The sequence below is a fragment of the Homo sapiens genome, chromosome 6, assembly GCF_000001405.40.
Source record: "Homo sapiens chromosome 6, GRCh38.p14 Primary Assembly".
In the NCBI taxonomy this organism is placed as follows: domain Eukaryota; kingdom Metazoa; phylum Chordata; class Mammalia; order Primates; family Hominidae; genus Homo; species Homo sapiens.
Window position 1 is genome coordinate 13,650,955 of NC_000006.12, and position 18,808 is coordinate 13,669,762.

An 18,808-nucleotide genomic window follows, 5' to 3' on the forward strand; every position below is an offset into this window, starting at 1 on the left:
TCAAAGAAAATCATGGCATCCAGTCTTTAAAAAACTGATTTAAAAGGTTAGACTCTGAACATGAAATTTTAGGAATACCTTAATCAATTTATATTGCTTATCTCATCCTTTTTAGGTGTGCAACACCTAAAAAGAGACACATATTAAAATCTAAGTTTAAATAACCCTAAGAGATCATTCAGTGAGTATAAAATAAAAATGCTAAGTGATAAGGGAGGCATTATGTCACAGTTTGTTAGTTTTTTTCCCCCTTGGTGTCACAGATGATGCAGATTACAACTGACAGTGCCTTGGGTTTGGTAAATAAGATACGTGGAATCAAACCTCTACCGAAGAGAGTTACTGTAACCCCTTGCTTGAATTTCTGCAATAGTCTTCTCACAGGTCCCCTTGCTTCTACCCTTACTCCCATATAGTTTTTTGTTGTTGTTGTTGTTTTGTTTTTTTGTTTTTTTTTTGAGACAGAGGCTTGCTCTGTCACCCAGGCTGGAGTGCAGTGGCACAATCTTGGCTCACTGCAAGCTCCGCCTCCTGGGTTCACGCCATTCTCCTGCCTCAGCCTCCTGAGTAGCTGGGACTACAGGCGCCCACCACCACGCCCAGCTAATTTTTTGTATTTTTTTTTTTAGTAGAGACGGGGGTTCACCGTGTTGGCCAGGATGGTCTCGATCTCCTGACCTCGTGATCCGCCCACCTCGGCCTCCCTAAGTGCTGGGATTACAGGTGTGAGCCACCATGCCCGGCCTAGTCTACTTTTCAACTAAGCAATCACAGTGATCCCATAAAAACTGAAGTCCTATCATGACAAATAAAAGTCCACAATGTCTTTGTATTTCACTCAGAGTAAATTTCCAAGCCCTCCCAATGGCTTGCCCAGGTCTAGATGATCTATTAATAGCTTACCCCCAACCCCATTATTATCTCTGATCATCTGCTACTACATATGCTCTGCCCTCCTCACTCCTCTCTACCACACTTCACACTCTTCTTCAAACAAGCCATCTGTGCTCCTGCCTGAGCACCTTTTCTCTAACCTCCCTCTGCCTGAAAACTCTTGCTCTACATATCCACTTGGCAGACTCCCTCACTCCTCCAAAAGCTTCAGCTCAAGTCTCACCTTGAGCAAAGGGGAGCAACTTGTACAACCTTGTGTCCTACCGTTGGTATTCCCATTCTCTGTTTTTTCCCTTTCTTTCCAAAGTATACTTAACACCCTTAAAATATGTTCTACTTTACTTGTTTTTCATGTACTGCTCATTCTCTTTCACAGCTTGAATACTATAAAGTCCAAGAGGGCAGAGACCTTTACTACCTGTTGAATAATATATTCCAAGCACTTTACCTGCCACATAGTAGGCCTCTATATAGCTTGGATGAATAAACGATTATAACTGCTATACAGCCTTCTGCTGAAAAGTCCAAGGAAATACATTTCAAATGAATGAATGGTGACATTTAAAAAGACACTTGAGAATCAATTCTGATTTATTTTCCTTTATACAATGAATCCAGTGCAAGTTGGAGCTTAATTTCTGAGGGTCTACACCCAAGGTGGTTAGAGAAAAGATCTCTTTCTTTGCATGTCATATAAACCTAATAAATATCAATAAGACTGTATTTTAAACTTTCTAAATATGCCCAGTATCAGTTTCTTTATACTTCCTGTAATTAAAAATGGAAAACTGCTTTTAAAAAAAGTCTTACCGGTAGGTCAGTGAAAGCAATACCTAAAAAGAAAAAAAAAAGTGGCATTAGAAGCTGTTTTTCAAAGCAGACTATACTGACAAGCTGAATTTCTAACTAAAAGGAGGAAACAAATGGCAAAAGAAAAAAACATTAAAGCCTAAATAAAAAATAACAAGACTAATTTTTAATCAATAATACTAACATATGTCTGAGTGAACAAACGCTGTCCCCTTTCAAGATAATCAGCCTTGCTAGTCATACACAAATTTTATTTCTGAGATGCTGCCATTGTCTCCAGGATTTTTGAAATACTTTTAGATATATCTTCAAAGCTACATTAGAAAACACATTAAGAAAGTTGGTTGCAAAATAGTCAGTTTATTTTTTAACCCCAAGTTGCAATTTGTACCCTCACCGTTTAATAATCATCATCTAGATTTAGCTTTTAAATAATTTTAGCTGGAAAGAAAAGAGTTTTTCTGTTATAAAAGGCAAACAAGGGAAAATACAGTATATTTTTGCTTCTTTAAAAAATGTTTCTTATGAAAGTAAATTCTTTAACTTATGATTTACTCGTGGGAAAAATCAATTCCTCCTTCAAAGGATGAACGATTTTGCACAGTTTAGAATTTCTCTTGAATACCTTTTGACAGTAATTACAACAGTCATGTTCTAGATACAACTTGAGCAATGGCAATATCATTGGAATAAGTCTACTGTCAACTCAACGTGACAATTTAACGACCTCCTTTAAATATTCCAATATACAACTTAGCTGAAAATAATAAAGTATTTCTGTAGATATATTTTTAAAGATTTAGCTCTAGAATAATGGGAGAGCAGTATTGGTGAGTCAGTCAGCTGATCTCAATTCTTCCAGTCTAAAACAAACATTAAAACCAAGCCAGCACCACTGCTTCTACAGTCTTGATCACTATCTTAAAACTGAGGGAATTTCCATTAAATTGTTTTTAAGGTCTCTTCCTACTTGACATTTTATTCCTCTATGACTGTGCTGTAATAACAGAAAACATCTAACTCTATTTATTAATAAAGTTAAAAGACAAACTGAAAATAAATTTTATACTTTTAAAATAATGTGTAAAATTAATGCTTTTGTAGTTAGTAAAGCCCTGTTTTTATGATTTTTAAAAACTAGTAAATTCATGGTGGCTTGTTAAAAGGAAAGCAAAGTTAGGGTTCCTGTTTTCCCCACGTAAAACATTATCATTACATTTAACTTCATTAATAACACAGAAAGCAAGTACTATCAGCCCAAATAAAAAACTTTCCCAAAAATTTCACAAAAGTAAAAAGAATACAGAAAGCAAGAGAATATTTTAATATACTATAAACTATACATATTTCTAATATTTTTCATAAAATAATTTTTCTCAAAGATGTCTAGTTATAATCAACACTGTATATTCTATCTTTAGCAAAAATCCTTTGTCTGTAATTACTGAAATCTTCACTTTACCAAAAACTCTAACGAAAAATTCAAAATTAATTCCAAAGGTTAACATTTTTTAACACAGCCAAATATAGTTACCACAACATGTTTTTGCTCAATCAGACCACGAAAAGATGCCACTTTAACAAGATGGCATAACTATTTGAATTTTACACAGAAAGCAATTTTCTATATTCATAATTTCCTGATTTGTCAGGCTTTTTGAAAAGTGATCTTCAATTGGTGAACGATATTCAATAAAACAAAGTAAAAAATTATCAAATTACATTAACCTATATACTGCAAAGTTTCTCTTATTTTCTCAAATAAAACCTTTCTATTTTTCCTTATATAGTAAACAAATATACATTCTGAAAATCTTCCATGAGACAGAAACTAAAGATGTATCAAGTTTTGGGCACAGATTATCCACTTAGGAAGTATAAGGGAATAGTAACTAAATATTTAACAGTATTTTATCTTGGAAGATGCCAGAACCTAGACCAGAGGTAGGCAAAGCTTTCCTATGAAGGACTACTAATATGTTCTGCTTTCCAGGCCATATGGTCTTTATCACAAATATCCAACTCTGCCACTGTAACAGGAAAGCAACCATAAACAATATTTAAGTAGGTGTGGCTGGTTGCTAATGAAATTTTATTTTAAAATAAACAGGAGGCTAACTTGGCCATAGCTTGTAGACTCCTGTTCTAGAGAAGTAATTTCTGCTCATCAATGGTTTACCAGTGGATCCCAGGAACCTAGCTCAGGGGCTGACAAACAATGATACTAAATAACATTTAATGGTTATTCACTAGATGCCAGAACTGTGCACATACTATTGCAGTTTAGTCTAACCACCTTAGTGAGATAGGTATTACAGTGATCCTACTTGACAAACTAAGAAAACTGAGGCACAGAAATGTTAAGTAATTTACATATGGTTACCTGGCATAGGCCGGGAGTCAATCCCAGGCAAGTCTGACTAAAGAACTCTTACTAACCACTGTTATACCATCTCTCTATGTGCTTAATACTCATTAAATTTAAGAATGAATAATGCCAAACATTCAGGTTTACTTAAAATTAAAATGTAGGCTGGGCACAGTGGCTCACGCCTGTAATGCCAGCACTTTGGAAGGCTGAGGCGGGTGTATCACTTGAGGTCAGAGGTTCAAGACCAGCCTAGACAACATGGTGAAACCCCATCTCTACTAAAAATACAAAAATTAGCTGGGGGTGATGGCGTGCCTATAATCCCAGCTATTCAGGAGGCTGGGGAAGGAGAATTGCTTGAAACTAGGAGGCAGAGGTTCTGAGCCGAGATCACATCACTGTACTCCTGCCTTGGCGACAGAAGGACATTCCGTCTCAAAAATTAAATAAATAAAATAAACAAAAAATAAAAATTTATAATGTGACTCCATTATTAGGTGCACCTTTTTAAAGACACATCTTACATTTTAAAAATAGCTTTCTTAGCCAAGAGAAAAATTTAATTTAAATATTTGTGAAAATAGGGAAAAAATAAAATCATTATCACCTGTGATTGTCTTATCTCCCAAAATGAAATTTCTTCTCTGGAAAGTTTAAAAAGTTTATGTTAAAGAGATTGTGGTTTTTTCAAAATGTATTTTTTGGTTTTTGAGCCAAAGGTCACACCTAAAAGCAGATTTCTCCGGATTCAAAACTTCCAACATCTTAAGCAGTCAAGCCAACTAAGATTATATGAACAGTCAGAATAGTAACAACAAATAAATTCAAGAGGCCTGTATTGTTCTTGGAAACCAGGTGGCCACAACAATGAAACCACACACAAATATACATAATTTGCATGGGGTCCTTAACATTATTGTACTAGTGAGAAAAGGATCTCTTGTGGACTTGAGAAAAACTTTTAAGTCAGATAATACAGAAGGACTTCAGAATTAAAAATCAGTAATCAGAAATAGAAATGCTAAGCTGAATATGAAAAAAGTTAACTTTATTGAAACACTCTTAAAAGAGTATTGCCAATGCAGCCAGAAATTCAGAATTTTCTTTTATACTATGAAATAACAGAAAAAACAGCTTTTGTGTTAAAGAACATCTATTATATGTCTAAGCATACTACTTTAAGTCTAATTTCTAAATACTATTTGTAAATAGTTTCTGCCTTCTAGGGTTACTCAGTTTATGCTTCCTTTCATTTTACCTCATTAAAAATAATTTGCTTTGAGTCAAAGATTTTTCCAGCAGTAAAAGGTGAAATCTTTTTTTATAAAACAAAAAGCATCAGTGTTATTATCCTTTATATTTTCTATAGTTTAAAAAAAAAAACTTCTAAGAAAATGGAATATAATGACCACATATAACTTTAAATTTGAAGTGCTATGAGTACATGAATAGTCCACTGAAAATCTTAACTTACTATTAGTCTTACAATGTATGGGTTTCAAGTTTTCCATAACCTATTTTATTTTCAGAAGTTTTTTATTCTCAGTTTTGTCACTGTTTGCTTGTTTAATTCTGCTTCCTTCCATAGAACAAACTTGTAGTTACCAACTTAGCCATCTTTGTTAGCAGATCTGACCTTTGAGTGTGTTGATGCCCTTCATATGCTTGTGGCATCAAGCTTTCCCTTCCTTTGTTACTATTCCCCACACTATCCTAACAACTGACTGCCCCTTTTTCTTAGCACCTGTTACCCAGAGAATTAGATTATACTGTGTAGCGTTTTATTTAAAGTAGAAAACTCTTGGCATTTCTATTTCTAGAATAAGTATCTCAGTGTGGGGATTATTTCTACAGTAACTCCTATACATATATGTATTATATAGATGGCCTTCACAGAATATAAATAGGGTGAATATAAATATTCACCATTTCCTCAGCTTCTGTCTGGGAAAAAGAAAGAAACCATTTCCAGAGGCATCCATCTATAAAGGAGAATCACATAATAAATACAACTACCATCCTGGAAGTATAATAATCTCCATATTTGGTTATTTTGCATGCAATATATTATCTCAGTACCTAAACTATGTCCATTCTTGGTGTAAAAGCAGGTATTGTTGATAAGATTAACACAACAGCCAATGACATCACCAGTAGTGAAAGTTGGTCCATAAGGTTGTCCAGTTCCAGAAGAACAAAACGAATGTCCATCATCCCCATGGTAACCATATGAATGCTTATCCCAACCTAAGGAGAAAGTTCCGGCATATTTACAATGAAAAGTAAGGTTCCTCTGTACTAGGTTTATTCACTAAGATTATGATAAATCAGAACAGTACAAGATAATATAAAGATGAAATTCCCAATGTACATTTAAATTCTCAACAATTACACTACATAATTTATTCTATATTAAAATACAGTTTACAAATTTAAGAAAAATAGCTACACAGAACACTAAAACAAATATTAAACAGAGAGAACCCCCTACCAGAAAAAACAAACATAAATGCAACAACCACAGGAGGACACATTTTCTGTGCATATTCCGTTTGCTAATACACCAAAATAATTTTGTTTTGATTTAAAGAAACACATACACGTTTTATATAACATAAGAGATTACATCCTATTCAATCACTGCAAGTTTCTCAAGACTGTGATCCAAATATAAAAGCCAAACAGGGTGTGGTCTTACCACACTACAGATATGTTTATATCATCATTAAGAGATTTTTACCTTATCAGTTACTTCTATAAGGAGTTTTCAAATAATAAAAACCTCAATTAAACCCTCTTTCAAGTATAATTTTAAGCAAAAGGGTACAAAACAAAGCATGTCAAGGTAACATATGTGATTACAATCAGATGCAACTACATTGTCTTGGTTTGTTTCTTTAAGGTACTTCATGTAGTTTGACATTGACAGTTTTGCCTTGTACTTCAAAAAGTCTCGCCAAAATTAATTTTTAATTTTAGCAAAGAGAGTATTAGAAGACATAATCCAAGAATCACTTCCTTCTCATAAGTGGTACTGGGAAACAGGTCTGGATCTCAATTCATCTCTTCCTTAGTTTACTTTAAGTATTAGTCGATATTCCCTGAATATTAAGATGGGTTAAAAGTCAAAAATGTGATGGGTAGCCAATATAACTAGCCACATTAAAATATTTAAAGTAGCTGATATTACTATGTACTAAAACTTAAAAATATAAAAATACAAAAAAAAGCATGATATATATACTATATGTTTTACTAAATAGTGTGAAATTTAAATTTATTAAAAACCGCTCAGCAGGCTGGGCATGGTGGCTCACGCCTGTAATCCTAACAGTTTGGGAGGCCGAGGCAGGTGGATCACCTGAGGTCAGGGGCTCGAGACCAGCCTGGCCAAAATGGCAAAACCCCATCTCTACTAAAAATACAAAAATTAGCCGGGCCTGGTGGCGCATGCCTGTGATCCCAGCTACTTGGGAGGCTGAGGGCAGGAAAACCGCTTGATCCCAGGAGGCAGAGGTTGCAGTGGGCCAAAACTGCGCCACTGCCCTCCAACCTGGGTGACACAGTGAGACTCTGTCTCAAAAACAAAACAAAACAAAAAAACCCCACTCAGCTTTCACTTAAAATTCATAATGATGATTAAAAACACAGAAAATCAGTATCTTTAAATATTACAATTTCTTACTTGAAAAATTTAACCAGAAAGAGCTACTCATAAGACATAATACTGTAATTCAATTACAAGTGTACCTGGTAGTCTATTCATGTTCACACCTTGAGCAGAAAGACCAATTCCCATGTAACTGTTGGCGGAGGTTGGGGGAGAGAAGAAAAGGACATTATTACAGTCATATATGTATAAATTACCAAACAGTCTCAAACAATATCAGAACCAAGCCCAAGTTGGAACTCCTAAGGTAGCAACAAAAATTTTATTACAATTTATTATGTAACAACAACGGGCAATATTAAGTACCAGTAATACTCAGACTTCACAGCAAACTCATATGGTAATAATTCATAAATACACACAAAGCATTAATATACAGCTATGCACTCTACTGACACCTATAAAAAATCTCGCCAACTTATTTACAGATAAATGTTTGGGATTAAGATTTCTCACAAAAAAAGCACAGAGGGATTGCAGAAGGAAAAAAAATGTTAAGGAAACAAATGTGTTTCCCAAGGGACACAGTACAAATTTAGACCCCACACACACACACATACACACACACACACACACACACACACACACACACACACGGAAATATGGATTCATATTTGGAAAAAATTTCAAACTCACATAAAAATATCTTAATAAAATTACCCCAAGGTATGTATTTTCTATACTAGCTTTCTAAAACTGAGCAAACTGACAAAATCTACCTAAACAGAGGGTTCTTTATTATCAATTTATAAAGTTAGAACAAAACAGTCTCCACACAATACACAAGGGAAGATTATTAAGGTATTCAATTATTTTTCAAGTGCTTATAAAACATTAACAACAAAACCTGATAAATATAGTTCAAAGGAAGAAAACATAACACAATACACTTGTAAGTATTAACACAAAAGGAAAAACAAAATAAAAAGCAAACTGAATCCAGTTTGTTAAAAGGCTAATTGCCCATTATTGTTATCAAGGTTTTAAATGGCATTTGATAAAATTCGGCCACCATTCCTAATAAGAACTCCAATAAAATAAGAATAAAAGGAAATTATTTAACTATGAGACTTTTCCCCCAAATACAGCAAGCAAGATATTCAACAGTAAAACACACTGAAGGCATTTCCACTAAAATCAAGAACAAAGAGATGCCTATAATTGTTAAATACTGTTTTAGGGGCTTTAGAAAGCTTAATAAAATAAGAAAACTAAATGACTAGCATAAATGTTAAAAGATATAAAAGTACCTTTATTTGTAGTTGGTATGATTATATACATAGAAAACCACAGAATCTACCAAAACCTTTTATAATTATTTAGGCATTCTGGCAAAGTGACTACATGTAAGAGGAACATTTTAATATTTCTTCTAGTATAGCCAGCTGGACAGCCACAATAACTACAGAAAACATAAAACAGGAATAAGGTTCTCAAGGAAGGCTCAAAATTACATATTAAAAGCTGTATATAAATGGATATAGTTAACTTCTGGATAACTGGAGAGCATAAAAATGGCAATCTTTCAGATAGGCACAGAGGCTCACACCTGGAATCCCAGCACTTTCAGAGACTGAAGCAGGAGGATCTTTTGAGCCCAAGAATTCAAGACCAGCCTGGGCAACATTGGGAAACCTTGTCTCAAAAAAAAACAAAACCATCAGTTGTGTGCGGTGGTGCACACCTGTGGTCCTAGCTATGTGGGGGACTGAGGTGGGAGGACTGCTTGACCCCAGGAGGTTGAGGCTGCAGTGAGACATGAATGATCACACCACTGCACTCCACCCTGAGTGATAGACCAGGACTCTTGTCACTCAGGCTGGAGGGCAAAAACAAAAAAAGGAGGACAACCTTTCTAAAATGATGTAGACACACATTTATACATTTCAAGACATATTCCAACAGAAGTTTTAAAACTGAGCAAAATTATTTCAAAGTTCATATGTAAAAATATATAATTTTGATCAAGACAAAATTTTAAAAAAGAAAACTCAGAGTTTTCCCTACTAGAAATTAAAACTCAGATTCACAAGAGCAATATTACTACTATGAGCATATGCCAAGTGAGACAAGAGTGACAAAACATTAAGAAACAACACATAGATGTCTAGTCAAGAAGGCTCATTAAGTTTGTATTTTGATTCAGCCCCTTTGCTAGAAGTACAATATAAAATGTTAAGTATTACTTTTTATTTAGAAAGGCTAAGTCACAAGAAGATGAGAAGAAACACAAGGCTGTGAATGGGGATATAAGCTGTGGACCTGCAAAGCTCTGAGTCTATGAGCACTCAATAGTGGCTCAAAGTTCCCCCTCCTCTGGGTAAACAAGGACTAAAAATGTTCCATAAGAGGAGTATTAGCTATGCTTACTGCTTAAAGCCAAAGGCTGGAATAGCCTTCTCCTCTTGAAAGGAAGCTAAGAATATACTGATATCCCCTGTTGCCTAAGCTAGAGCTTATTTGACATTGTGGTGTAGTTAAGGGGAAAGAGAGAGGAGAAACCTCTTAACCAGGATCTAAACCAGTTAGTTATTGAATGGATCCATGACAGAACCTGCAATACTCTCAATATCATGCTGAAGCAAGAACCCGGAAACTCTAATACAAACCTAGTTTTGGATTGGGAGGAATGAATTGAAAATCAAGTAAAAACTGTAAGAAAGAAAATAAGCATAGAAAAAGACAGATGGGCAAAATGAAGAAAAATGTTAAACTTCCCAATCAAAATAAGGCTGCAAGGACAAAATTCTAAAATATAATATCAACAAATGTGACACAACAGGCATGTGGGAAAAAAAATGAGAAAAAAAGAGAAAGACCAATAAAATAAATGGCTGGAACATGAATTCATTCTAGATGATATCACCCAATGGATAGTATGATTTTAAAAAAACATAAAAATAAGTATATTTAGGAATATACTAAAAGAAAAAAACATAATCACTAAGATATAAGGACAGTGGTGTACCAATATTTGCTGAGATAATTTAGATAGTAATTTTCCAGAATTGAAAAACATGTTGTTGAACTGAAAATACACACTACATACTGAGGAAGATAAAAATTAAGTCACACATAAGACACACTGTAGAATATCAATCACGGGCATAATCTTAAAAGCTACCAGAAAGAAAAGCAGATTACCTAGCAAGAAATGGCAATTAGACTGACTTCAGACTTCTCCCCAGCAACAACTGATGACGAAAAACAATGGCACAATATGTTCAAAGTATTGAAAGTAAAGTAACTGTCTACCTAGAACTTAGGTCCCAGGTAATGCAGCAAGAATGAGGGAAAAAATAAGATATTTTAAGACACATAAAAGCTAATGGTTTACTATACACAGACTGTCACAAAAGAACTATCTGACGACATACTTTAGCAGCAGGGAGACAAGTGAAAATAGAAGAAAAGCATGGACAAGGAAACAATCAGCACAGAAAATGACAAAATATATCACTAAAAGTCATTATCAATTTAAAAAATACTATTCAGAGTTTTAAAATCTATCATCCATACATAATGTGCTAGAACACAATTACCCGACATACAAAGGAACAAAAAATATCCATGCTCAAAAGAAAGCACAAACAGGGAATGGCCCTGAGACAATCCAGATGTGAGAATTAGCAGACAAAAAAATTTAAACCAGGTACTGTTACAATGCACAAGATGTAGGGAGAAATACTCTTGCTTTGAATGAAAAGAAATTCCAGAAAAGAAAAAGAATCAATAAAAAGGGACTACTATGGTCTGAATGCGTGTGTCCCCCAAAATTCTTATGTTGAAACCCGGTCCCTAATATGGTGGTATTATGAGATGGGGCCTCTGGGAGGTCATGAAGGCTCCACCCTCAGGAATGGGATTTTTGCCCTAATAAAAGAGGCGTGAGAAGGCTTGTTTGCCCCTTCTGCCATGTAAGGACACATAGGTGTTTTCTATGAAGCAGAGAGTTCTCACCAGAAACTGAATCTGCTGGAACCTTTTAAACTTGGGCTTTCAAGCCTCCAGAACTGTGAGCAATAAATGTATGCTGTTTATACAATAAATTACCCGGCCTAAGGTGTTTTGTTACTGCAGCCCAAACAAAAACAAGAACCAAACAGAAATTCTGGAGCTGAAAACTGTATGAAATAAATCTTTACTGATGTACTTAATGGCAGACTGAAGATGGCAAAACAAATAGTAACATGAAAACAGACCTTATCTGAAGGACAGAGAAAAAAAGGTAGGGGTATGGGGGGAAAGAGTCCTTGGAACAGTATCAAAATACATATAACCAATCCCAAGGAAAAAGAGAATAGGACAGAAAAGAAATTGAAAATAATTCCCCAAATTTGGTAAAAGACAAAAACGTATAGATTCAAGAAGCTCAGCAAACATTAATTAAATAAAAAGAAAACCACACCTAGGCACAAATCACAGCTGAACTGCTGAAAACTAACAAAAAAGAAAAAAAGTGCAGAAAACAGCTAGAGAAAAACGACATATTACTTTCACAGGAACACTGAGTTGAATTTCCACTGACTTATTAGAAAATATAAGGCCAGAAGACAGTGGAATGAAATCTTTAAAAGTGCTAAAAAGAAAAAAAACCCAAAAGCCTGCCAACACAAAATGTTATTTTCAAGAGAAATATTCTTAAGAATAAAAGTGAAACAAACACATTTTCAGATAAAAGAAAAACATAATGTGTTGCTAGCAAACCTACACTTAAAAAAATGCTCTTAATTTTCCTAAAACACGACTCTTTAAAGCAAAAATGGTAACATGTATTGTGTAGTTTATAACATACCATAGATGTAATACATATGACAATTACAGCAAGGACAGGAGGAAGTGATAAATGTAGAAATGCAAGTTTCTATATTTTACATAAAATGGTTCAATATTAATTCTCAACAGGTTATGAAAAAAGATACACAAAATCTAGAATGGCTAAAAATAGCAGAGACATAAAGGTCAGTAAATAAAAAGAAATTCTAATAATGTATCAAAACGATAACATATGATTACTAGATAGTGTTTAACCCAAGAACAAAAGATTGGTTTAACATTCAAAACCAATCAATGTATTTTTCTATACTAGGGGAAAATTCCTATCATGAAATAGCTGCAGTGAAAACACCTGATACAATTTAACACCATTCAAAATAAATACACTTGGCAAACTAACAAGGGAACTTCCTCAACCTGTACCTACAAAAACTCTACAACTTACATGCTTAATAGTGAAATACTGAACACTATTCTCCAAGGACCAACAAAAAAGCAAGAAGGCCAGTGCTCACCACTCGTATTCAACACCATACTACAAATCCTAGCCATTTCAACAAGGCAAAAAAGAGAAATAAAATGCATAAAAATCAAAAAGAAATAAAGCTGGCTCTATGTACAGATGATATGACTGTTTATAAAGAAAATCCTAAGGAATCTACAAAATAACTGCAATAAGTGAATTTAGGAAGGTTGCAGGATACAAAGTTAATATACAAAGTCCACTGTATTTGGCAGCAAATACTAGAAAAACAAAATTTAAAAAACCAATTCTATCTACAACAGCATCAGAAAACATAAAACATCGAACAAAAGCCATGCAGCCCTCTCTACTAAAAATTACCAAACATCACTTTGGGAAATCTTAAAAGACGTAAATAAATGGCAAAACATATCATGTCTACGAATTGGGCACCTCAACTGCAATTCTCTTCAAACTGATCACAGAGTCAACACAATCCAAAGCATAACCACAATAGGCTTTTCTTTTTTTTTAATCTGAAAAGCTGATTCTAAAGTGTATATAGAAGCTGATTAATGAATGTACATACACAGCTTAATAGAAGAAATAAGACCTAGTGTTAGATCAGTAAGATGACTATAGTTCACAATATTCTATTGCACATTTCAAAATAGCTAGAAGAGAGTAATTCAAATGTTTCCAGCATAAAGACAAATATTTAAGGTAACAGATACCCCCAATACACTGATTTGATCTTTACAATTATATGAATGTATTATCACTGTACCCCCAAAACATGGACACCTATTATGCAGCTATAAAAAATTTAAATTAAATAAGTAAAATGTATATGGAAATGTGAAGGATCTAAAACATCCCAAAAAAGCTTGGAAAGCTGTAGAAGTTACACAATCTGACTTCAAAACATAGCATGGGCTGAGTAATCTAAACAGTATGGTACTGGCTTAAGGATCAACAAATAGATCAATGCAACAGATTAAGGAGTCTAACAAAGAGACCCACATTTATAGTCATTTAATATTTTACAAAAGTGCCTAGACAGTCCAAAAGAGGATGGAAAGTCTTTTGAACAAATAGTAAAAAGATAACTGACATCCATGTGGAAAAAAGTAAGCCTTAATCTCTATCTCACACAATACACAAAAATCAAATGAAGATGAATCACAGTCCTAAATATAAATGTTAAAAACTATAAAGGTTCTATAAGAAAACATGTAAAACTATCTTAATGACTTGAGGATAAAGCAAAGATTTATTAGGACACAAAAAGGAAGACCCATAAAAGAGTAAACTCATAAATAAAACTTTAGCAAAATTTAAAACTTAACAAAAGACATAGATGATCCAATTTTCAAAAATGAACAAAAGGTCTGAATAGATATTTCACAAAATAAGATACTGCAAACAGCCAAGGAGTACATGAAAAAGTGCTCCAAATTGTCAGTCATCAGGAAAATGCAAATTAAAACCACACTGAGATACAACTGCATACCTGCCAGAATAATTAAAATTTATAAAACCAACAAGATCAGTGTTGCCAAGCATATGGCACAACAGGAACTTTCATATGTTTTTGGTGGGAATTTAAAACAATAAAACCTCTGAAACAAAGGCTGGCAGTTGCTCATAGGACTGAACACCTGCCTACCCTACGACCCAGCAATACCACTCATAAGAAAAATGAAGATGTGTCTACCAAAAAAATTTGTACAAATAGGTTCATGGCAGATTTCTTCACAACAGTGAAAAACTTGAAACAGCCTGGCTATCCATCAACAAGCGAACAGATATACAAATTGTGGTATATTCTACTCAGCAACAAAAACAAAAATACAATTACTGATAAACACAAATGGATCAATCTCAAAATGTCATGCTGACTCAAGGAAGCTTTACATACAAGAAGAGCATATGTCATATAATTCCTTTTATATGAAATTTTGCAACAAGAAAAATCAATCTAAGGTAGTAAACAAGTCAAAACAGTGGCTGCCTCTGAAAGGGTGGCTCAAGGGCCTAACTAGGAAGGAGCATGAGGGAACATTTCTGAGAATGATGATGTTCTATACTTTGATAGAGGTTTGTATTTCATGGGCATACACATCTGCAAAACTTATCAAAGAGTACACTTAAGATGTGTGCATTTCACCAAATGTAAACTGTACCACACACACACACACAAAAAGAGAAGTAAGCTGACATCAAACTCTAGTTAATGATATATACATGCTGTAGTGATTAGGAGGGAAGTATACCTACACTGAAATGTATCAAAGACTAAGACGGATCAACTGATGAAAAGAGGAATAAAGAGATACCTTATAAAATAATTATAGTCAGGTCCGCTATATCATGACATACGAGTTTCAAAAAAACCACATTATACAAAATCATGCAATAAAAGCTACAAGGTTTACGAAGGAAATGGGATTGGAAGCACAGCATGCAAAAATGTCAGTAACACATTTTTGAAAAGATAAGAACCCAATAAAAACAATTTTACACCAATTAAATTATTAAGGAATAGGCCAGGCACAGTGGCTCATGCCTGTAATCCCAAAGGAAAACAAAACTGGGAGGCCATGGTGAGAGAAGCGCTTGAGTCCAGGAGTTCAAGACCAGCCTGGGACCCCGTCTCTCCAAAAAAAAAAAAAAAAAAAAAAAAAAAAGATTGGCAGGGTGGTGCATTGCCTGTAGTCCCAGCTACTCGGGAGGATCACTTGAGCCTGAGAGGTCGAGGCTGCAGTAAGACATGATGGTACTACTGCACTCCAGTCTGGGTGACAGAGGCCTTGTCTCAAAACAACAACAACAACAAAAAATTGTTATGGAATAAATACTACAAGAAAGTGAGTATTTTACCTTGAAAAACACCTAAGTTTATGCCTGGGAAATGGGTGTCATAAGAGTTACCACTTGTGAGTTACTGTGAAGTGATGAAAGGAGGGTTATCTGACAAAGGGAAATTTGTAATACCAGTTGTGGCTGGGTGTGGCTCATGACACACAGTAAACTGAATAGCTGGTAGATATATAAAGGCTATCTGACATATAAAAACAAACTCAATCCAACAGTGAGGGACAGGCAAAATTTATGTGAACAAGAAATTTATTATTGTGGTACTATGTGTTTACCAAGAGCAATGAACATGAAGATTTTTCAGATCAATATGTCAACGTAGATCATCACAAATTATGCATTTATTAACAGTTATGTAAGTAATGTTTGTGCCTAACATACAATGGAGACTAACAGCATTCTAGTTTAATTCCTATTATTGATAGGCTTAAGCCTACTATCTTGCTATCTGTCCATCTGTTCTCTCCATCTTTTTCTGTGTTCTTTTTAATTCTTATTTTTGTTTTATGGCCATTATTAGTTTTCTGCTATACCTTTTGGCAGTATATTAATGACTACCTTATTAAGATTTTAATGCATCTTTGATCTATTACATTCTTGATTAAGTTAGTATATGTATCACATGCTGGCAATGCAAGAAACACTTTTAAAAACCTATTTACAGTGATGTTCCACATAACAAATGTTTCGGTCAACAACAGACCGCATGTACAACAATAGTCCTATAAGATTATAATGGAGCTGTTCTATACAAGTGTGCCATTTTAAATCTTTTATACCACACATTTTTACTGTATCTTTCCTATGTGATGTATTTAGATACACAAAACCATTGTGTTACAATTCCCTATTGTAACACAATAACAAGCTATTCAGTTTTGTAGCCTAGGAGCAGAGCAATAGACCACACAACATGGCCTAGGTGTTTAATAAGCCATGTGGTATGGTCTATACCATTTAGGTTTGTGTAAGTACATTCTATGATATTCCTACAATGACAAAATCACCTAACCACACATTCTTCAGAACGTATCCCCATTCTTACGCAACACATTTTTTGTTACTGTTGTCAAAAATTAAAATTAAATAAAAAAGAAAGATCTCTAATTAGTAATCCAATTTCTACCATTAAGAATGAACTAAACCCAAAGCAGGTAGCAGAAAAGGAATTATAAAGATTAGGGGAGAAATAAGAGGAGAGACTAGAAAAACAATAGAATCAACAAATTCAAAAGTAGGTTCTACTAAGCAAGAAAAATAAAAGAAGACTCAAATTACTAAACATCAGGAATTACAAGAGTATTACTACTAAACTAAAAAGGATCATAAGAAAACAATTATTAAATACTATGAACAATGAATTACATAACCTCCTTTAAATGGACAAATTCCTAGAAAGACACAAACTACTGAAACTGCATAGTAATTTTAAAACACAAAGACAAGCCCGTGCTCAGATGGCTTCACTGGGGAAATCTACCAAACATAAAAATTAACATTAATCTTTCCCAGACTCTTCCAAAAAAGCTAGAAATACTTCCTAACTCATTCTACAAAGCCAGTACTATCTTGTTACCAAAACTAGATAAAGGCATCACAAAAAAACTACAGAAAAAATATCCTTCATTAATACAAATGCAAAAATCCTCAACAAATTACTAGGAAATCAAATCCAGCAACACATAAAAAAGATTATAAATCATGACCAAATGGGATTTATATCCCAAAAACATGAAGTTCGTTTAACAAACAAAAATCAATCAATGTAATATATTAAGAAAATAAAGAACAAAATCCATATAATCATCTCAACAGGCATAGAAAAAGAATTTCACAAAACTCATCACCCTTTCACGATTTAAAAAAAATCATGAAAAATCATGACTCAGCAAGCTTGAAACAGAAGGAAACTTCCTCACACTGATAAAGAACATCTATGAAAAATCCCCAGCTAACAGCATACTTAGTGGTAAAAGACTGAATACTTTGACCTTAAGATTAGGGACAAAAAAAAGGATGTCTTCTCTCACCACTTCTATTCAACATAGTACTGAAACTTCTACCCTGGGCAAGAGGGCAAGAAAAAGACATAAAAGCCATCAGATCAGAAAGCAAGAAATAAGCATCCTCTATTGACAGATGGCACAATTTTGTATATAGAAAATCCTAAAGAATCTCCTCCCCCAAAATTATTAAAAGTAATCAAGTTCAACAAGACTACAAGATACAAGATTAATATGCAAAAATCAGTTGTATTTCTACACACTAGAAATAATTTGAAAATGAATTTAAGAAAATACTTTCATTTGGAACAGAATAAAAAAAAAGAATACTTAGGAATAAATATAACAAAAGAAGTGTGAAATCTGAACACTAAAAACGACATTGTTGAAAAAATGAAAGAACTGCTAAGTAAATGGAAAGACTCCCCATGCCATATTCATGGATTTGAAGACTAAATGCTGTTAAAATAGCAATACTCCCCAAATTAATCTAGAGATTCAACACAAACCCTATCAAAATCCTAACTTGCTTTGCTGCAGAAATTGACAAACTGATCCTGAAATCATACACAAATGCAAGGGCCCAGTAGAGCCAAAATAATCTTGAAAAAGAACAAAAAAGTTGGAAGACTCACACATTCCAATTTTAAAACTCAATAAAAAGCTACAGTAACCAAGAGAATGTGTTGCTGGCTTAAAAACAGACATAGAGATCAATGCCATAGAATTGAGATTTCAGAAACTCTTGTATTCACGATCAATTAATTTTGTTATTGTTGTTGTTTTGCGACAAGTAAGGTCTCACTTTAACCAGGCTGCAGTGCAGTGGCATGACCACAGCTTACTGCAGCCTTTTTTCTCCCGATTAGGTGATCCTCACACCTCAGCCCCCGAGTAGCTGGGACTACAGTTGCATGCCACCATGCCTGGCTAACTTTTTT

General features: G+C 34.1%; 1 protein-coding gene across 4 annotated transcripts in view; it reads right to left on the reverse strand.

Moving 5' to 3' along the window:
• Positions 1-18,808, reverse strand: part of RANBP9 (RAN binding protein 9) — a 90,338-nt gene that overhangs the window by 29,457 nt on the left and 42,073 nt on the right. For all 4 annotated transcript variants that reach the window (XM_011514205.3, NM_005493.3, XM_047418032.1 and 1 more), the window contains exons 3-5: positions 7,826-7,878; positions 6,155-6,322; positions 1,705-1,727 (exon numbers count right to left, since the gene is read on the reverse strand). In XM_011514205.3, coding sequence (XP_011512507.1) covers positions 1,705-1,727; positions 6,155-6,322; positions 7,826-7,878 — 244 coding nt within the window. The remainder of the gene's footprint in view (positions 1-1,704; positions 1,728-6,154; positions 6,323-7,825; positions 7,879-18,808) is intronic.